Here is a 17,636-nt window from a genome sequence, read left to right as displayed (position 1 = left end):
ATCTCCCTCTCCTGGAAGGCCAAATAATAACCTATTGACTCTTCTGCCCTCCTGTGGCCAGAAATCAATGGAGTCTGTACCTCTTGAGTAGATATTGCTGTGATCTAAAGACAAGTGGATTATTAAAATGGATGTTTGGTGCCTATGTTAGTCAGGGTTCTCTAGAGAAACTGCACCAATAAGAAGATATATATTTATTATAAAGTATTGGCTCAGGCAATTATGGAGGCTGAAAAGTCCCAGGGTAGGTTGATTGCAAACTGGAGACCCAGGAAAGCTGGTCCTGTAGTCTGAAGGGTGGATAGCCCGAGAGCCAATGCTTTAGATTCCAGTCTGTGTCTGAAGGCCTGAGAATCAGGAGGACCTATGTTAGGAGAAGATTAATGTAAAACTTAAGCTGTCAAACAGAGAGGCAATTCAACCTTCTTCCACTTTTTTGTTCTATTCAAGCCCTCCACACATTAGATGATGCCCACGATATTGGAGAGGACTATCTGCTTTACTCAGCTTACAAATTCAAATGCTAATCTCTTCTGGAAACACCCTCACAGACACACCCAGAAATAATGCTCACCCAGCTATCTGAGCATCCTGTGCTTAGTGAAGTTGACACATAAAATTAACCACCTCAATGCCTGTTGAAGATTGTCTGCAAAGATGGCCATTAATAATTCCTTCATTTTCTGTAAAAATTCCTTTCATCATGATGTGCAGCTACTTTCCCTCTTCTTGAATTCTGTCTGGACTTGTGACTTCCTTTGACCAACAGAATGACACAGATTTGACACTGTGCTAGTTTGGGGCATGAAATTTAAGAGGCGTTGGCAGAATCTGTTTGTTTGTTTTTTAAAGAAACCATTCACTATATAAAGAAGATCAGGCTATCCTGCTGGAGAAAAATACCATGTGGAAGAGAACTAAGGTGCCCCAGGCAATATCCAACACCAAGGACCCCAACCTATAAAGGAGTCCATTTTGGATCCTCCTTTAGCTTCATTTGAACTACCTTAGCCAACCCCATGTGAAAGAGAGATGAGCTGCTTCCTTTAGTGCTGCTTAAAATCTGGATCCATAAAACTGTGAGCAATAAGATGGTGTTGTTTTAAGCTGCTAAGTTTTGAAACGGTTTTTTATACAGCAATAGACAATTGAAAAAAGTTGTAAATGTTATAGTTTTTATTCTCCACAACTTAACTGATTTATCAGTTACAGAGCATATTTACCCTTGATCATCCCCTCAAATATAAGGTATGAGTTATTTTCAAGATGAGTCTTTCACTGGCTCATGTGTAAGGTATATTTCTTGACTTCTTGCCATTATTCCCAGGCCTTGGAAATTTCCAGGGTTAGAATATCAAGCCTTTAGATTATAGTCTTAGTGCATTTCTGCTGTTATAACAGAGTAGTACAGGTTTGGTAATTTATAAAGAATAGAAGTTTATATGGCTCACAGTTCTGGAGGCTAGGAAGTCCAAGAACACAGTAACAGCATCTGGTTGATTGTTACTGCATAGCAGCAGGGCAAAAGGCAGAAGTAAGCACGTAAGACAGAAAAGGAATGGGGGCCAAATTTTCATTATTTTATCAGGAGCCCACTCTCATGATGATGGCATTAATTCATTCATGAGGGCAAAGCCTTCATTACCTAATGAACTTTTAAAGGCCTAACCTTTTAATACTGCTGCAATGGCAATTAAGTTTTCAACACATCAACTTTAAGGAACATATTCAAATCATAGCAATTATGGTTCTGATATTTACTAAAGTGGAGACGTCTCAAACAACTATAACTACTTATTCTTGAAGATAAATGAAAAGATTAGATTTTTCTTGACAGCCAGATTAAGTAGGGACAGGAGGGCCTTAGGGTCATAACATGAGCAAGCTCAGATCTTAGCAGCACTGGCTGGTGGGGATGGGAAGTAAGCCAAGGCCAGGCTGTAGAGCATCCCAGGGAGACCCAGGCATCAGAAGTCACAAGAATAACAATTAAAGCCAGTCAAGGGGTGACAACCTGTTTGTATGTGATTAATCCTTTCATAGCAGTTCTTCGGCCAATTAATCAGAAGTCAGCCCTCTGATGACTCAAGCCTAGTCAGTCAAACCGGGGTTGTGTTTTACTTCATGCTAAAGAGATGTGAAATCCCAAGAAGGAGCCAGTTATAAGACCCGGGTCAATGAGGTTAAGTTTGGGAAAAAGGTTGCAAGTGGTGGGTACACCCCATGAATAGTAAGACAGTTTTCTAGGCAATGAGACAAATGCAAGATTCGGCCCATTCACAAAGTGAAGCTGCCTGTCCTGGTCAGGACTAGCAGGATTAAGTTCGTAGATGAAAGACACAAGTGAATTCCGGTTCAGCAGAGCTGATAGTGAGATACCCAATTCAGGAGGTAGTGAGGAAAAATAAAAAGACTATAGAAAGGCAAGAGGCCAGGAGAACCAAGACAAGCATAATGAAATTTGATAACTTGCCCAAGACCAGTGTTGGTTAGTTTCATGTATAGTTTTGTTATTGTACTATAGCAGTTAATAACCATATATTTTTATGAAGTTAAGAGAGAATAATTACTAAGGAAGATTTGACAAAGGGGGAAGTTTCTGATTTTCTTTTTAATCACTTGTCAAGATCTTGAATTCTTTCAAGGATAAGTGGTAGGAGAGGTGAAAAGACATAAGAAGTTGGAGTGAGAGAGTCTTTACAAACTTAAAAACAAAACAAACTTTTTATTTTGTGAATAGTTTCAAGCACTCTAATTTTTCTGAAGAGTAAATGTAAATAGTTCTTTATTGATTTAAGTTTATATTCAATGGTAAGTTTAACGTTCAATTATTCATTTATTCTTTCATTTATGTCTTAAGCCAATTAGTGGTAGCAATGGTCACAAAGGAAAGTACTTAATTTCTATTTAACTTATTTCTATTCACGTACAGTAAAGACAACACAGTGTCCTCATTTATTCCTCTTAACTGTCTGCTGCAAGTTACTTCTACATAAAATATTGTCCTTTTGTCACCACTAAGTACTTATTGTCCAAAACAGTACAGTTTATTGCTCTCCTAAGTAGATGATACAGCATCTTCCCAAACTCTGTATATTCTTTTTTTCTTCTTCTTTTTCGTGGGGGAGGAGGGAGGGTCTATCCCAGTGAGTGTCCCATGCTGGAGAGCAATGAAACATTCTTTTTGCAAAAATCAAAAGCTTGTTTATATCCTTACATCCTTTGGACATCACTGAAGAGACTATATTATTATATGAAAAGACTGTTGCAGTCTTCTCTCTCCCTTCTCCATGTTACCCCTTGTGCTTCTACCCTACCATAGTCCCTTTCAATTTGCTTAAGATAAAGATGTGGTGCCCTCATGGGTAAGGCACTATAAGGCAATGATGTCTGAAATTCAGACTATTGGACAGCTCACTTCCTGTATTTACTCTGTGCTTGGCAAGTTGATGGGGGTGGTGGCTGTGGTCACAAGGAACAACGTCCGCATTCTCTTTTTCTTATCCCTCAGATAAAAGATATGACTTTGAATTCCTTTGGACCATTTTCATCTTAAAGCCAAATTTTTTCTTCTTTAAATCTTCTTTTAGCAATGAGTCAAGGTTAAAATGCATATAAACAGCTGTTGTCAATATGTTTCTTGCAGAAATGACAAATCTACCTTTTCTAGCTGTTGCTTTTCTTTAATGATTCCATATGTTCCTCCCTTCCACAGATTATTAAGGCTGGCCACCACCATCTCTAGATTAGTGATTTGTTTCCTAAACAAAACTTTCAAAGATATTATCTCTGTTACATTGTCCCTTGTGCAAGGGGTCATTACCCTCTTTTGGTTTCTGGAGTAATGTGGCATCCTCAGTTGAACTGCATGCATTAGTTCTGTGCTCAGAGCAGTTTCAGGCAACAATTCCTATTCTATTTAAGCTGTGGTCAAGGATACTGCCTTTGATGGTTCTCAGAGGTGACACTGTGTTTAAATGACAGCTTTTACAAGGCAAAATGAATTCTAAGTGCACACACACACACAGAATGACAGGTCTGTAGAAATACCAGGGGATGATCTGGTTTTCTGTTTCTCTTCCATCATTCTGTTCTGGTACTTAAATATTCTTCCCTTGTGTTTCCCTTCTTACAAATTAACAAGAAAATGAAACAGTTTAATGAATTTCTTATGCAATTTTAAAATAAATTTCTTATGCAATTTTTATATGGTATTTTAATATATTACATGCATTTTGCTTTGGGTACTGAAATTAAATGTATTGAACATAAAGTGAGTTGGGGTATAGTTCTTTTAAATTCAGTGTTTATTTCAGTCTGGCTGATAACTACACTGGAATCTATGGAGGTGTATCAAAACTCAGATTCCTGGTTCTACTCTGGAGGCATTTAATCAAAATTTCTGTCAGTAGATGCCAGGAATATATTTTCTAAGATTATTATATAATATATACTATATAAATTATATTGTATAAAATATATAAAAATACTACATAGAAACAATTGTTCCAGGTGCTTCTTATGAAAAGTTAAACTTTAGTATCATTAATTCAGTCCTAAGGCTAAATATTCACCATTGCTTCCCTTTTCAGCTATACAGGAAAAGCAGAGTGGATGGTAGAGACAACTGACAATAACTTTGCAAGAAATATTATGAAAATAAAAGATAATAATAATGTTGTCACGTGGTATTGTTTAGTCTGCATTATCTGCAGAGAGACCTCAATTCTGAGTGTCACCTTTCTTATGTATAAAAATGAGTTAAAGGTCAGAGGTTAATAGACTGTACCATTTACATAAGATACACAATAGCAAAACAGAAATTAGAATTCATAGGCTGCCAGAAATTATGGGGATGGCCCATGGTAGAATGTTAATTTATTTCTTCTGGCTCTGATTTCAGTGGAGTTAAAGGATGAACCGTTAAGCTGTTCATTAGTACTGATGAGAAACACCCCAACTAATCTCAAGAAAGGGTACTAAAACAATAAGTGTAGCTGGGGAGGAGGGGTATGACTGGTAGTGCTAATTATATTTGAGTTAATACTAAAAAAATTAACCCACTGGAAACTAAAATTTTCTAATAAAAGAAATCTCTAAGACAAGTATTCCAGAGAGGTATACTAACATGTAAAGACAAACAAACAAACAAAAAAGTAAGTTTTGGGTATTTCAGATATAAAGATGAGAGCCACTTCCATTTATTGTGCACTTCTGTGCATACTAAAAAGTAAAGACAACGGCAGGAACTAATAAGTGATTATAGCAGTGCTGTAGGATCCAAGGTTAATACAAAAAAGTCAGTCATTTTCTATATACCAGTAATGAACAAGTGGAATTTGAAATTAAAAACACAGTATTATTTACATTAACCCCCCCATGAAATCCTTAGGTGTACATTTAAGACAACATGTACAAGATCCATATGAGAAAAAGTACAAAACTGATGAAAGATATCACAAAAGAACTAAGTAAAGATGTTCCATGTTTGTGGGTAGAAAGACTCAATGTTGTCAAGATGTCAGTTCTTCCAAAATTAATCTATAAATTCAATGCAATCCCAATCAAAATACCAGCAAGTTATTTTGTGGACATTGACAAACTGATTTTTAAGTTTATATGGAGAGGCAAGAGACCCAGAATAGCCAACACGATATTGAAGAAGAACAAAGTTGGAAGACAGACACTACTGGATCTCAAGACATATAAAAAGCTACAGTAATCAGGACAGTGTGGTATTGACTAAAGGATGTACAAATGAATCAATGGAACATTATAAAGAAACCAGAATTAGACTCAAATAAATACAGTCAACTGATCTTTGACAAAGGAGCAAAGGCAACAAAATGAAGCGAAGACAGTCTTTTCAACAAATGTTGCTGCAACAACTGCATATCTACATGCAAAAACAACAAATAATCTAGACAAACCTTATACCCTTTACAAAATTAACTCAAAACTCACTGACCTAAATGAATCACCGACCTAAAAAAACCCACAAAACTATAAAACTCCTAATAGATAGCATAGCAGAAAACCTAGGTGATCATTTTTTAAAAGCACCACCAAAGGCATGATCCATGAAAAACAATTGATAAGCTGGACTTCATTATCACTAAAAATTTCTGCTCTGCAAAAGACACTGTTGAGAATAAGAAGACAAGCCACAGAGAAAATATTTGCCAAAGTAATATCAGATAAAAAATTGTTCTTCAAAATAAACAAAGAACTCTCAAAACTGAACAATAAAAACACAAATGACCCAACTAAAAAGTGGGCCAAAGACTCTGACACCTCACCAAATATGATACACATGACAAATACGCATATGAACAATGCTCAACATCATATGTCATCAAATAAATACAAATTAAATCAACACTGAGATACCACTACACACCTATTAGAATGGCCAACATCCAGAACACTGACACACCAAATGCTGGTGAGGATGTGAAGCAACAGAAACTCTCATTCATTGCTGGTGGGAATGCAAAATGGTATACCTATTTTGGAGGACCGTTTGGCCGTTTCTTACAAAACTGACCATACTTTTGCCCGTGCAATTCAGCAATCTTTCTCCTTGGTATTTACCCAAAGGAATTGAAAATTTTTGTACACATAAAAACCTGCACAGAGGAACAGAAAACCAAACACCGCATGTTCTCACTTATAAGTGAGAGCTGAATAATCAGAACACGGGGAGGGGAACCACACCGGGACCTGTAGGGAGATGGGGAGTGGGGAGGGAGAACATTAGGAAAAATAGCTAATGCATGCTGGGTTTAATACCTAGGTCAAGGGTTGATAGGTACAGCAAACCACCATGGCATACGTTTACCTTTGTAACAAACCTGCACATCCTGCACATGTACCCCAGAACTTAAAATAAAATTAAAAAAAACCCTACACAGAGATGTTTATTACAGCTTAATCATAATTGCCAAAACTTGGAAGCAAACAAGATGTCTTTCAGTAGGTGAGTGAATAAATACATCACAGTACATCCAGAAAAAAAAAAAAAATCAGTGTTAAAGAGAAAGAAGCTGTCAAGCCATGAAAAGATATGGAGAAAACTTAAATGCATATTACTAAGTGAAAGAAGCCAATCTGAAAAGAATACTGTATGGTTCCAACTATATGATGTTCTGGAAAAGGCAAAAGCATGGAGGCAGTAAAAAGATAATTGGATGCCAGGGATTGGGCAGGGATTAGAGGAGAGGAAGGCATGAATAGACAGAGGATAGAGGATTTTAGGGCAGTGAAATTACTCTGCATGATACTGTAATGGTGGATACACATCACTGTAAATTTATCAATCCTATAGAATGAATGTACAACACCAAGTGTGAACTCTAACGTAAACTAGGGACTGTGGGTTATAATGATGTGTCACTGTAGGTTCATCAGTTGTAACCAATGTACCACTCTGGTGGGAGATGTTAATAATGTGGGAGGCTATGTATGTGTGGGGCAGGGAGCTATTGGAAATTTTTGTACCTTTCTCTCAATTTTGCTGTGAACCTAAAACTACACTTAGTCTACTTTAAAAAATTAAAGGCATGCCAAAGCCAGGTTATGAAATCGTGGTATACATTTAACAAAGTTATGCTTTAAACATTTATAATACATTTTTAAATTCACAAGACAAAGGATTTATTTTAAAAGTCAATACTGGGGTTCTAGTAACGAGACATAAAGTTGAATGAACAGTGCCTTATTTTTTCAATCATATTACTGCATTTCTAACTACGTATAACTTCATTTGCAGATTATAGTCCAAATGAGAATCTTCCTCAGTGTGAAGCCTGTATTAGTTTCCTCTTGCTGCTATAATAAATTACCACAGATTTAGCAGCTTAAAACAACTCAAGTATGTTATCTTACAGTTCTGGATATCAGAAATCTGAAAATGGGGTGGCAGGGCTATATTATTCTGCAGGCTCTAAGAGAAAAACCTGTTTCCTTGCCTTTTCCAGCTTTTAGAGGTTGCCTACATTCCCACCCCTCTGCACTCTGATGGCTGCTTCCATCCTCATACCTCCTTCTCTAACTCTGACCTCTCTCCTATAAGGATGCCAGAGATTACACAGGGCCCACCTGGATAATCCAGGCTACTCCCCTCCATCTTGAGATCCTTCACTTAATCACATCTGCAATGTCTCTTTAGCAGTGTAAGGTAACATATTCATAGCTTCTGGAGATAAGAGCATGGGCATCTTTGGGGAGTCATTATTTTGCCTACTTGGAAGCTCAAAATGGAAACCACTCCAGGAACTTCCAACTCTGCATGCTCTGCCTCATGATTCAGTTGGGGTTTATTTTTTCTAAACTCTTCAAGTGATATCTTAGAATTGTTATTACCAATGGGTCCCAGAGGAGTTCACTTTTCAGGGTATGTACTTTCACATGCCTGATGCAGAGAAGATATTCTCATATTGTGGCTGCTATAACTTGGTATTAAGTAACAAGGAAGCTACATCTGTTACCCCAAAGTATGCAAAACATGGAACTAATTATATTTATATAAAAAGGACAGAGAGAAAAATGTTGCTTCATACTACGTATATGAATGAATACTTTAATGTGCCCTTTTTTCTCTACAAGTTGGTCTGCTAGACATTGTTAATATACAGTATATAAGATCTAAGGATCTAAGGATTCATGGAAGATCTAAATTGATATATCTGCTCTAAGAACAAAACTAAGATTCTAGTTAAAATTTGTCAATGTTTAATTATATAAAATTATTCTATAGCAATTAGTATAACAAGAGCTTTATTACTCTACTTTTCTTCACTCAAGATTAAGTAAAGGAAGAATACCTTTATAACAACTCCACCTTTAGATTAAAAAGGGAGGTTTAAAGATCAATATTAATAGAAATACTAATTCGATTTGCCTTCCTGCTCTCATAGATAGACTCATTTATTTATCCACCCAGTTAGTCAACAGATATTTAAATGCTTGATACAGGTGTGGTAGTGGCGCTATGAAGTCAAGTATTGTGCCAAACTTGTTTAATATAGTTGCTGCCTGGGCATCCATTTTTAGGCCTGATATAAGCTGTTTGAAACCCAGTTGTATCACGTCACCTGTGGCCTACTTAAAACTTCCCCTCCCTGTGATATAGAACACTTATTCCTCATTCCATGACCAAAAACCCAACAGCTGCTAACCATGATAAAACCCAATGGTCAACACCAGAGTCAAGTTCTCCCTTTGCTGGTGTTTTCTTTAAACTAGTCAATCCACAACCCCCTCTGGAAAGCCTAAGGGATAAAGCCTTTGGACCTTAACACAGCCCCACAGGTCCTCTCTCTTGCACCCCACCTGCTGGTTGGGAGTCCTGTTATCTCCAGACTTCCATCAGGCTTATTCTCTGGTGAATCTGTAAGTAATAAAATGCGCCTGTTATTTCACATGTTTTGTGTGCTGCCTCCTCTGGCGTCTCACCTGCACACCAGAACCTAGCTTTCCTCTCTGGGCCAGGGCTCTCCTGAAGAGTGGCTGTTCTGGCTTATGGCCACTCGTAAGAGAGAGACCTCGAGATCAAATTAGAAAGGAACGATAGCAATAAAAATTACAAGGAAGTATATTATGGCACCCACTTTTCAGTTAAGAAACCAACTAGCACAGGACCTAAATGCTAATTATAATAAAAGTAACAAAAGTGAAAGAATGCCTTCAATAAGACTAAACAAAAAGGAAAAGCAGAAAACATATTTTTATATGCTCTCAAGAAAACAGGTAAAAATAAAAATTGTAATACTACAACTAGATAACATTTCCAGTGTTTAAAAAGATTATTTTTTATTAATCATAAGCCACTGGATTAAGACTGAATTACTGATGATTATACACTTTAATGATCATTAATCTATTTAATCAGCAATTCATTCAATACATATTAAGCTTGTGTTACATTCCAGGAGCTGGGCACACACACACAACCCAAGCCAAAAGAAAAATGTTGCTGCTTGCATGGAGTTTACATTCCAGGGACCTAATACAATAGTGCTCTCCTCCAAATTCTCACTATACTTTCATGGTAAACCTCACCAGCAACAAGAGTACTAAATAAGGTAAGATATGCTTTAGGCCTGGAATTCTTCAACTTTGGCCTACTTCTGTATGAGGGCCTTAAGGCTCCTCTGCCATTAGTTGTGCAATCTTACATAAATTAACCATTTTAACGTCTTTTCCCCTTTGTAAAAAGGGAAATGGCAATAGTTGAGTTCTTCTGGGGACTAAATGACATAAGGTGTATCGATTGTTCAGCAATTAGTATTGCTTTGACCCTATGGTTCCAAAACATGCCTGCTCATCAGAATCACCCGAGGATCTTTAAAAACATTCCAAAGTCCGGTGCTCACCAGACCAATTAAATCCCAATCTCTGAGCGTGTCAGGACACGCTCCCCAGGTGGTTCCAAAGTGCAGACAAGTTTGAGAGCCACCACAGTTTGGATTATTGATGTGCCACAATAACACTTGCTAATCCATCTGTCTTTACCCCAGGTGGAACCAGGAAGCCTCCAGAGCTTAATGGAATTCAGATAATCGAGGTGCATACGCACCCTACGTCCCATCCTGTGACTTGAATCCCAATCTCTTCCGAAATTTTAAAGCAGGGAGGGATGGGACAGAGGCCTGACCTCTCCTGCATACTCATGGCCCTTGAGTATCTGCGATCTTTAGATATGTAGGGCGTTCTGACATTTCCACTTGCGGCGACAGCTGGGCCTGCCCGGGGGAAGCGCAGAGCGGGCAAGTCAGCCCTCCCGCAGGCGCTGGGACCGGGTGCGGAGGCCGCAGCCGAGCCGCGAGGGCAGATCGGCAGCCTCAGCTGCTGCCGTAGCTGTCGGGATCGTCCCCTGCGGGGCAGCAACAGCGGGGCTCCGACGGCTGAGGGGGGCGCCTTCTGCTTGCGCGCTCTGCGTCCCTCTCCGTGGTCTGCCCTTCGCCCCGCGACCCCGGCCGAGGGTGGGAGCAGCGCGGGGTCGCATCGGCCCGAGGCTAGCGGGGCTCGCCGTTCCGCCCGCAGCCATGGAGGCCGGGCCGCCGGGCAGCGCCAGGCCGGCGGAGCCGGGTCCTTGCCTGAGTGGTCAGCGCGGCGCGGACCACACGGCTTCCGCCTCCCTGCAGAGCGTGGCCGGGACCGAGCCCGGGCGCCACCCGCAAGCCGTGGCAGCTGTGTTGCCTGCCGGGGGGTGCGGGGAGAGGATGGGGGTCCCCACCCCGAAGCAATTCTGCCCCATCCTGGAGAGGCCGCTCATCAGCTACACCCTACAGGCCCTGGAGAGGTAATGCGGCGCCGGGCGCGCCCCGCGGTTCCCTGGGGCCCGGCCTCCCGCTCCCCGCCCTGCCGCTGCTCTAGCGCTAGCACCTTCACTTGGGGGACTGCCGGGCCGCGCTCAGTTATTCAAGCTTGAGCTCTGTTCCCTCCCGCATTTCAGAGATGGGAAGTTCTGGCCTTTAACAGATGGGCACGAAAGCTGCAGCTCCCCCACAGAGCCCTTTACGTCCCCAAGCAGATGAGGTTGTGGGGAAGGCCCGTCGTGTGGCGCCGATTAGAGAGTGCATGGGTTGGGACTAGGCGATTTGGGGTTCTAGCTGTGGGGCCTGAGGAGAAGCTGTGCGGATAGTCTCGCGGTCCTGGGGCTCTGCCTCCGCGCATGCGTGGATTGAGTTGTACGTGCACACTGAAGTTTCCAGGGCGTGTGTTCGTTTTTTTCATTCATTTACTGAGCACCTTCTGTGAGACAGGCTGCGCTAATTACTAGGTGCTGCAGGAGGGGAGAGGAGCAGAATTTAATAACCTTTCAATGGTGGAAAGGGCTTTAAGCCTGAATTTGAGGTCATACCCCCTTTATCTTAGAAAGGGCACTGAAGTTAACTAGTTGGGGAAATGAAGGAGACAGGGAATGGGATAAGGAGGACTAGGGGAACAGTCGTGAGGAGCTGAGGAAGTGAAATGAAGGGGTATGTTATAATATTAACTTACTTTGCTTTTAGCACTGAGTAATGAGGTGGAGCTTGGGGCGAGGGTGCAGGGGTGGGAAGCAGCGGCATTACAAATATCCACATAATTTTGCTAAGGTGTTTGAACTTCTCTGAAGCCAGTGGGGAGCTGTGGTAGTTTGTGAAGCCTTGAATTGATGCGAACCGTTTGCATTTCCAGATAGATGTCATCCTTTAGCATACATTGCCTTTGCAGGAGGTTTTGAAAACCAAGCTAGTGAGGTTCTAGTCCAAGGGAAGTGGCACGTTCCCCAGAAAGGAGCCCCACGCAAACCCTCACACATGCTTCAAAAGCCAAAAGGTTCAAGTTGTTTTGTAACCGCCCCACGGGTTCACCTTGCCCCTGCCTAAACAGAGCGGATTTATCAAGACAGGGGAATTGCAATGGAGAAAGAGTAATTCACGCAGAGTCGGCTGTGCGGGAGATTGGAGTTTTATTATTACTCAAATCAGTCTCATATCAAATTATTACTCAAAAAATTATTACTCAAAAATTATTACTCAAATCGAGCATTTCGGGATCGGAGTTTTAAAAGATAATTTGGCGGGTAGAGGCTCGGGAAGTGGGGAGTGCGAATTGATGAGTTTGGAGATGGAATCATAGGGGGTCTATGTGAGGTTTTCTTGGTGTCTTCTGTTTCTGGGTGGGATCGCAGAACTGGTTGAGACAGATTACTGGGTTGGGTGGTGTCAGCTGATTCATGGAGTGAAGGGTCTATAAAATATCTCAAGCACTGATCTTAGGTTTTACAATAGTGATGTTATCCCCAGGAGCAATTTGGAGAGGTTCAGACTCTTGCAGCCAGAGGATGCATGACCCCTAAACTGTAATTTCTAATCTTGTAGCTAATTTGTTAGTCCTGTGAAGGCAGACTGGTCCCCAGGCAAGAAAGGGGTCTTTTTGGGAAAGGGCTATTATCAATTTTGTTCCAGAGTCAAACCATAAACTAAATTCCTTCCCAAGGTTAGTTCGGCCTATGCCAAGGAATGAGCTTAATGGTTAGAAGCAAGATGGAGTTAGTTAGGACTGATCTTTCACTGTCCTAATTTCCTCAGTTATAATTTTCACAAAGGCAGTTTCAGGTTCTCATATGACTATTTTACTTTCTGAATATTGGAGTTTGGAAAATGGAAGTGTAAAAAGCCATAATCACTGATTTAGGTAATCTGCCCAATGATTACATCTGAAACTCAAAATTTGAAATGATTCCAGTTGCTAACTTTATTCCATTTCTCTGGGTAGTGGGGAGAGGGGTCCCTGAAACCATTTCATGAACCACTTACCTATAATATTCCAGTGCCATGAACATTGTGACAACATAGCTCATATATGAAGGCATTTCTGTGGGACACAATGGGTCTTGGCCAGCAGGATCTTTATCTGCGTGGTAATTAGCTATGGGGATTATAGTCACTTTTACACTAAACTTTTCTCCCATGGAGAAAACTTTTGCATTAACTTTAATTTTTTGCATCTTCTGAGGCAGTCTAAGATAGGCGGACACTAAAAATCTCACTGATATGGTTTGGCTGTGTCTCCACCCAAAAATCTCATCTTGAATTTTAATCCCCATAACCCCGCATGTTAAAGGAGAGATCAGGTGGAAGTAATTGAATCATGGGACAGAGATCAGGTGGAGGTAATTGAATCATGGGGATTGTTTCCCCCATGCTGGTCTCTTGATAGTGAGTTCTCATGAGATCTGGTAGTTTTGTTAGTGTTTCGTAGTTCCTCCTGTGTTCATTCTCCTTCCTGCTGCCTTGTGAAGAAGGCACCTTCCTTTCCCTTCACCTTCCACCATGCTTGTAAGTTTCCTGAGGCCTCCCCAGCCATGCTGAACTGTGAGTCAATTAAACCTCTTTCCTTTATAAATTACTTAATCTTGGGCAGTTCTTTATAGCAGTGTGAAAACAGACTAATACACTCACTTTTAAAGGAAAATAATGTTTGGAAAGGCCTTGTTTATGGAAAATAAAACGTTTGTCTTCTACTTTTACTTAACTGATAACAGCAGTCAGAAAATCCTAATAGCAATAGTAACTCATCAAAATTTTCATTCTGAAATACTTCATGGCTCATTTTTATCACTATTATGTCTGAAGAGCTTATGGAACATGATTATATTTTGGGTATATCCTAGGAAGTCCTTAGAAAGCTTGCTTTATAGCAGTGTGTGGGTGCTGCTTGGCCATTTGCCAAGTGAAAGCCCTTACTTCCTTCTGTAAAAGATCAGCCCTACAGACTGTTGATAGTTTTCTTAGGGTATGGGGCCAAAAGTCTTAAGTCACTTCATTAAAAAAGATAATTTATACAAATTCAAATAAGGAAAAGGACATGGAAGTATAAAATGCCTTATAAGACTACTTTTTTGCTCTGTTGAGAAATTACGCATGCTTTTTGCTTATTAAAGAGAAAGCACAGTTCTCATTGTCCCAAATAAGAAAAATAATGGGTGTCACCACTGTCAATCATTTAGGTTATTCTAAGAGAATGTCATTTCTTGTTTTTCAAGGGCTGTATGTGATACCCCAAATTTGATTTTTTTTTTTATAACTTCAACTTCTATTTTAGATTCAGAGGGAATGTGTGTGTAGATTTGTTACCTGGGTATATTGTGTGATGCTGAAGTTTAGGGTATGATTGATCCCATCACCCATGTAATGAGTGTAGTACTGAATAGTTTTTCAACCTTTGCCCCCTCCCTCCTCCCTCTAGTGATCCCCAGTGTCTGTTGTTGACATCTTTATGTCCATGAGTACCCATTGTTTAGCTCCGTCTTAGGAGAACTTGTGGTAATTGGTTTTCTGTTCCTCTGTTAATTTGCTTAGAATAATGGCCTCCAGCTGCAATCATGTTGCTGCAAAGGACTTGATTTTGTTCTTTTTATGGCTACATAGTATTCCATAGTGTATACGTACCATATTTTCTTTATCCAATCCACCATTGATGGGCACCTAGGTTGATTCCCTGTGTTTGCTATTGTGAATAGCACTGTGATGAACATGGTGCATGCATCTTTTTGGTAGAAGCATTTGTTTTCTTTTGGATATATACCCACTAATGAGATTGCTGGGTTGAATGGTAGTTCTGTTTTAAGTTCTTTGAGAAATCTCCAAACTTCTTTCCACAGTGATTGAACTAATTGACTTTCCCAGTAACAGTGTATAAGTGTTCCCCTTTTCTCTGCAGCCTTGCTAGCATCTGTTTTTTTTTGGCTTTTTCATAATAGTCATCATGACTGGTGTGAGATGGTATCTGATTGTGGTTTTGATTTGCATTTCTGACTAGTGATGTGGAACGTTTGTTTGTTGGATACTTGGATGTTGTCTTTTGAGAAGTGTTTGTTCATGTCATTTGTGCATTTTTAATGTGGGTATTTGTTTTTTGCTGGTTCAGTTGTTTACAGTTCCTTATAGATTCTGGATATTAGGCCTTTGCTTGAGAGTGCAAAAACTGTTTACTCTGATAGTTTCAATTGCTGTGCAGAAGCTCTATTGTTTTTTTGGAGATAGGGTCTCACTGTGCTACCCAGGCTGGAGTGCAGTGGCAGGATTTCAGCTCACTGCAGCCTCAACCTCCTGGGCTCAAGCGATCCTCCCACTTCAGGCCCTCAAGTAGCTGGGACTACAGTCACGTGCCACCATGCCCAGATAATTTTTTTTTTTGTATTTGTTTGTAGAAATGGGGTTTTGCCATGTTGGGCAGGCTGGTCTTGAGCTCCTGCGCTCAGGTGATCCACCTGCGTCGGCCTCCCAGAGTGCTGGCATTACAAGTGTGAGTGACCACACCTGGCTGCTGTGCAGAAGCTGTTTAGTTTAATTTTCTCTCAGTTGTCAATTTTTGTTTTTGTTGGAATTGCTTTTGAGGACTTAGTCAGAAATTCTTTCCCAAGGCTGATGCCCAGAATGGTGTTTACTAGGTTTTCTTCTACGATTCTTATAGTTGGAGGTCTTCCATTTAAATCTTTAATCTATCTTGAGTTAATTTTTGTGTATGGTGAGAGGTAGGGGTCCAGTTTTATTCCTCTGGATATGGCTAGCCAGCTATCCTACCAACATTTATGGAATAGGGAGTCCTTTTCCCAAAAATTGCTTATTTTTGGCAACTTTATTTCTGGGTTCTCTGTTCTGTTCCATTGGTCTGTGTCTATTGTGTACCAATACTGTGCTGTTTGGGTTACTGTAGCCTTATAGTATAGTTTGAAATTGATGCCCTGAATTTGACTTCAAAATTCATTTTATTTGCCCCTCATAAGTAAGGATATTCTTTGCCCAAACTTTTGCTATCTCACTAATAGAGGGTTGAGAAGTTGTAATTTTTTAATATCTCACCTAAGAAATTCAAACTACCATTGAAAATAACTCTTATGGGTTGATTTGTCTTTTGGAATTTTGAACTAATTGGGGACTGCAAAAGAGAAGGTAGAAACTTCTGAACTTTGGCCCCAAATTCCTAAATTGGGATAGGGAAATGTAAGGAAACATGGCTAGTCTTGCCTCTAGTTAAAGACTGCCACTTACACATACATTTGTTTCCACTACTTCCTTGACCCATCTAAAGGAGCTAAAAATGTATGGCTACAGAAGGGAGAATGAGAGGAAGTGCAGCAGATAAGTACTAATAAACTCAAGAGCTAGGCGCGTGGTAACCTAATCAGATTTAATGAACCCAGGAAAGCTAAAACATAAGCCTTCAGGTAGAACTTCAGTTCAGGTAGAACTTACTTCTCAGGAAGTAAGATGATTAAAGTTATACGACCTTGAAAAAGTATAGACATCAGAGGCACAGGGTATCTCTGGAGGTGGGGTAGAACAATGAAAAGGGGACACCTGATTGAATCCTTCAAAAGGAAGAGTAAAATTCCCAGATCTTTAACAGATACTGAGGCTTATTCTCTGGCTGAGAATTAGCACAGCTAATGACTTGAGTTCGGTACTCTATGGCAGTGGGGAAATTAAGAGAGACTACATTTTGATACAGTGAGATCCTTAGTGCCTGAGATAGATGACTCAAGGAAGTTTTCTGCTTTTCAGACATGCCATATATTAAAGTAGCTATTCTTCTAAAATCAAGGAGTTGGAGGAGACATTGAAAGAAAATCCATTTTGTGAATTGACTGGAACTTCAGATTGCTTGTCCATTTTCCTTTTGTCAAAATCAGAACAGTTTTAGTTTAGCCAAGTTCTACTTTGCGCCATTGAAACTGCTTAGAAAACTACTTATCAGATTAAATGAGATTCAAAAGTACCTCTGAACCCACCAGTATCTGAGGCATGTTGGCTAAAGGCTCTGAGAAAATGGAGATTTACAAGCTAAGTATTTAACATATCAAGATTATGTTGTTTGTGGATATATTTGTATATTATGATTAAACATCATGTACATGTATAGACATATGTATTAGTATACATGAATGTGTGTATAGGTTAATATACTCCAATCTTAAAGAATGGTAGTCCAGAATTGTGCATATGGCTATTACTAGGAAGGATCACATATAACAACTCATTTCTACTTTATGCTGGGAACTAGACCCTTTCAGAAGTTGATTAAAAATGTTCCTAGGATTTCAAAAGTTGTTTTGGCTTTTTAACCAAACTGAAATATAATTG

The 17,636-nt window shown here is 39.9% G+C and overlaps 1 protein-coding gene and 1 long non-coding RNA gene across 10 annotated transcripts in view, besides 2 other annotated features; one reads left to right on the top strand and one right to left on the bottom strand.

The window, feature by feature from the left end:
* The window catches only part of LOC105375168 (uncharacterized), a 50,690-nt gene extending 39,005 nt beyond the window's left edge, over nucleotides 1–11,685 (bottom strand). For 4 of the 6 annotated variants that reach the window (XR_007060223.1, XR_007060221.1, XR_007060219.1 and 1 more), the window contains exons 1-2: nucleotides 11,389–11,685; nucleotides 9,334–9,391 (exon numbers count right to left, since the gene is read on the bottom strand). This is a non-coding gene — a long non-coding RNA (uncharacterized LOC105375168). The remainder of the gene's footprint in view (nucleotides 1–9,333; nucleotides 9,392–11,388) is intronic. The other 2 variants (XR_007060220.1, XR_007060224.1) reach the window with 2 other exon arrangements.
* The window catches only part of CRPPA (CDP-L-ribitol pyrophosphorylase A), a 334,014-nt gene continuing 327,210 nt past the window's right edge, over nucleotides 10,833–17,636 (top strand). For all 4 annotated transcript variants that reach the window (NR_160656.1, NM_001101417.4, NM_001368197.1 and 1 more), the window contains exon 1: nucleotides 10,833–11,305. Coding sequence is in view for 3 of the 4 variants with exons in the window: in NM_001101417.4 (NP_001094887.1) it covers nucleotides 11,049–11,305 (257 nt within the window). In the remaining variant the exon portion in view is untranslated. The remainder of the gene's footprint in view (nucleotides 11,306–17,636) is intronic.
* Nucleotides 11,023–11,162: a silencer, noted in NCBI's record as "silent region_17982". NCBI's record gives its function as "represses an Ori minimal core promoter by ATAC-STARR-seq in GM12878 lymphoblastoid cells {active_cell/tissue: GM12878}" and the evidence as "EXISTENCE:reporter gene assay evidence [ECO:0000049][PMID:35858748]".
* Nucleotides 11,183–11,242: a silencer, noted in NCBI's record as "silent region_17981". NCBI's record gives its function as "represses an Ori minimal core promoter by ATAC-STARR-seq in GM12878 lymphoblastoid cells {active_cell/tissue: GM12878}" and the evidence as "EXISTENCE:reporter gene assay evidence [ECO:0000049][PMID:35858748]".

This window comes from Homo sapiens, chromosome 7, assembly GCF_000001405.40.
Source record: "Homo sapiens chromosome 7, GRCh38.p14 Primary Assembly".
Lineage (NCBI taxonomy): Eukaryota > Metazoa > Chordata > Mammalia > Primates > Hominidae > Homo > Homo sapiens.
This window is presented reverse-complemented; position numbering and strand designations above follow the sequence as displayed.